General features: G+C 53.6%; 1 pseudogene; it reads right to left on the reverse strand.

Moving 5' to 3' along the window:
• FEM1AP2 (fem-1 homolog A pseudogene 2) lies at positions 1–2,313 on the reverse strand (annotated as a pseudogene).

Genomic DNA, 3,511 nt, shown 5'->3' on the forward strand with positions numbered 1-3,511 from the left:
TGACCCTGAAGGCTTCTAGCACCAAAGGCTCGCTAACACCTCAGAGCCTGTCTTCAGGTAAAGGGGATGGGAGGCAGAACCCTTCTCCTGATTGGTGCCTGAAGGAGGCAAGAACGAGCATCTGCTATACCCCAGGCTGATTTCCCCCGTCTCAGCAGGAGAGGGGAGAGGTGAGGGTGCAGATGTTCTGGGCAGGTCAGTGCAGTTCGATGAATGCCTCTAGATCTTCCGGGATGAAGCCCTTGTAAGGGATCTTGTTCTTACCCAGGGCCTGGGCTGCAAGGCACTGCAGGGTCACATAGCTGAAGGGCTGCATGGTACCCCTGGCCAGCAGCTTCTCTTCCAGCAGCGTGTAGGCCGTCTTCTTGAAGGCGTTGGTGGCGTCCATGTGGGCCCCTGCTTCAATCAGGGCATTCACGATGGCCGGGCAGTTGTTCTGGGCTGCTATGTGTAGCGGGGTGTTGTTGTCAAAATCCCTGCTGTCCCGGTCGGCCCCGCAGTCGAACAGCACTTTGACCACGTGCAAGGAGGGGAATCTGCCCACGGAGTAGCGGCCCACGTTTGTGGTGTCCTTGTCCACAGCCATGTGCAGAGGGGTGAAGCCGTTCTTGCCCTTGGGTGCGCACTTGAGCGGCGGTAGATAGTCTGGTGCTTCAGGTGCTCCTGGCTGGGGGTGCACTCCACTTTCTCCAGCAGGTAGAGCAGGTGGAGGATGATGACCAGCGCCTTGTTGAACTGGGTCGAGTCTCTAGGCTCCCTGAGCAGCTGCAGGGCCCATTCCACTTCCCGGACCCCTTTGGTGAGGACCCCCATGAGGTCTGCAAAGCCGATCTGGCTGCCCAGGCTGCCTTTGGCAGCCCGGTCCTGCAGCACGTAGGAGAAGAGTTCGGCGAAGGAGAGGAAGCTGCTGGCGGTCATGGGGCTCAGAGGCTCCAGGTTGCTCTGTTGCATGTCCAGGGCATACTTCCACAAGCGGATGTAGCACTCGATATTGCCCGAGTCGGCGTACACGGCGCCCCTGTAACGGATACAATAGGAAGTGTCGGGGTGCGAGGGACTGAGGATGCGCTCCCGGATCAACAGGGCCTGCATACGCATCTCATCGGGGTCGGTGATCAGCGCCTCCAGCTCCTCGGTGGTGTTGACCTCCCTGGAATAGTCATAGGCCAGGACCAGCTATGGGGGCTCCAGTTTGGGCAGGTACTCACCCCCCTGGTGACGCAGCTCCATGGCCCGCCTCCAGTGTTTAAGGGCCCCAAGCAGATCTCGTTTCTTATCCACATACGTAGATCCCAGCAATTTCAAGGCTTCCACGGCAGCTTCCCAGCTGGTGGGACAGCAGCTTTGGTAAGATTCCCCCGTTCAGTACCTCAGGGGAGAAGATGCAGCACGGAGCCCCCTGAGGCTGCGTACACCCCTGGCTGGTGGAGGAGCCTTCTTGGGGCAGCCCAGGCTGAGCCTCTACCCCTGTGACCCGCTCCTGGCCGGGCTGCTCTTGGATGAGGTACTCCACGATGTTGGTGTGGCCCGTCACGCTGGCCGGGAGCAACGGGGTCATGCCGTAGCTATCACGTTCCATGCTGGCCTTGCACCCCAGCAGCAGCTGCAGGATCTCCAGGCTGCTGGTCTCGGCACAGTTGTGCAGGGCCGTGTTGCCCTTGGCGCTGCGCCAGTTCACCTGGGCGCCCTGCTCCAGCAGGTAGCGGGCGATCTCACGGTGGCCCTTGTAGCACGAGATCATGAGGCACGTGTGGCCGTGCCGGTTGGCCAACTCCAGGTTGGCCTGGTGCTCGCCGACCAGGTAGCGCACCACCTCCAGGAGGCCCTCGAAGCAGGCGGCGCGGAGGGGCGTGGAGTTGGTGCGCGTGGTGCGGTTCACCGAGGCCCCGCGGCGCAGCAGGCTCCCCACCACGTCCAGGTGGTCCGCGCCCACAGCGGCGGCGCACCCTCCATGGTCTCGCCATCGAAGTGCACCGAGCCACCGGCCTCCACGCTCGCGCCGCACGGGTCCACCAGGTACTCCACCACGTCCAGGTGGCCGTAGCAGGCGGCGATGAGCAGAGGCGTCCCCCCGCCGGCCACCTAGCCAGTCAGCTCGTCCAGTTCCTCCCGGCTCCGGCCGCTGAGCAGCTTCTGGAGCAGCTGCAGCTTGCCGTCACGGGCGGCGTTGTACACGGCGGTGCGGGGGTCTTTGGTTCGGGCCTGCGCCAGGCCATGAGCCGGCCGCAGGGGGAGGGGGAGACAGAGGATCACAGCCCAGACAGGCGGGAGCCAACCTTCACGGTCTCCCTCGCCGCCATCTTAGGGTGTCCTAGAGACTTTTAAATATGCAGATTATTGACCTGAGAAACCATTTCGTCTCCAAAGGAACATTTGCAGGCTGTCATGCAAATCTGCACTTGAGCAACTTTCACATTATGATCTTAGTGAATTCTTGACCAGATGGACTTGAACAGCTGCCACCCATGCTTGGGAAGTCCCTTTACTCGAGAAGAGAAAATAGCTCATTTGTTTGCAATTCTTTCCTGAAAGTACATAAGGGCAATTTTCTACATTGTGACTAGTATCAGAGCAACATTTTCCCTGAAAGACCATAGTTCATTATACTATTTAGGAACAAACAAACAAAAATATATACAAACATTTTTTGGGGAGTTTTATAATTTGTGCCCAGAAGGGACAAGTTTCTTTTCAGATTAAGTTTTAAAAAATGTTCCTTTATTCAAGCTGACATGGAGGTTATAACTGAGAAAAACCTCCCTCTGAAATTAGAATGCCTTACATTTGTATAACATTTTATACTTTTCAAAGTGCTTTCAGGCACATTATTTCATCTGATCTTCAAAACAGCTCAGTGAGGCAGGTAAAATGGGTGTTTTTATTCCTTACTTTTTAGATAAGGAAATAGGTTCAGACTACAGATATTATCTGAGTATCTACTAACTTCATTGTATTGTGCTAGGTGTCATAGAGGATAAAATAACATGTATTCCTAAAAGAAGAACCTTGGTTTTAGATAAGACATAACAACACAAAGCTAAATAATACATAAATGTACAATATGGTCAAAAGATGACAAAAGACAATATATGGTCAAAGTATTAGAAGCACAAGCAAACTGTGTTCTCAGATTAAGGGAGACTTCTTAAAGCAGGTGCCACCCGAATATATATGCCTGGAAGGAGGTTTGGAATTTGTGGAATATTTACTCTTTGGCATCAAAATCACTTTCTCATATAACCTTAGAATGTAAGAGATTTTGGCATTCATCTAGTTTGTTCTGATACTCGATGTTGGCACTCCCTATGGCCCCCTAAGCAAAGATGTTGGAATAGCTATGAGTCTTAACAATTCTATCTATATGCAGCTGCAATCTCCATTTCTATAATTCTACCCTTTGTTGACCAGAGTAAAACAAGACTAATCTATTTTCTCTTTCTGTGGAAAGCCTTTGCTATGTCTGTAGTCAGCATGATAGCTTGATCTGCCTTTAGTCTTTTCTTCTTTTCAT

This window comes from Homo sapiens, chromosome 18 (assembly GCF_000001405.40).
Source record: "Homo sapiens chromosome 18, GRCh38.p14 Primary Assembly".
In the NCBI taxonomy this organism is placed as follows: Eukaryota; Metazoa; Chordata; class Mammalia; order Primates; family Hominidae; genus Homo; species Homo sapiens.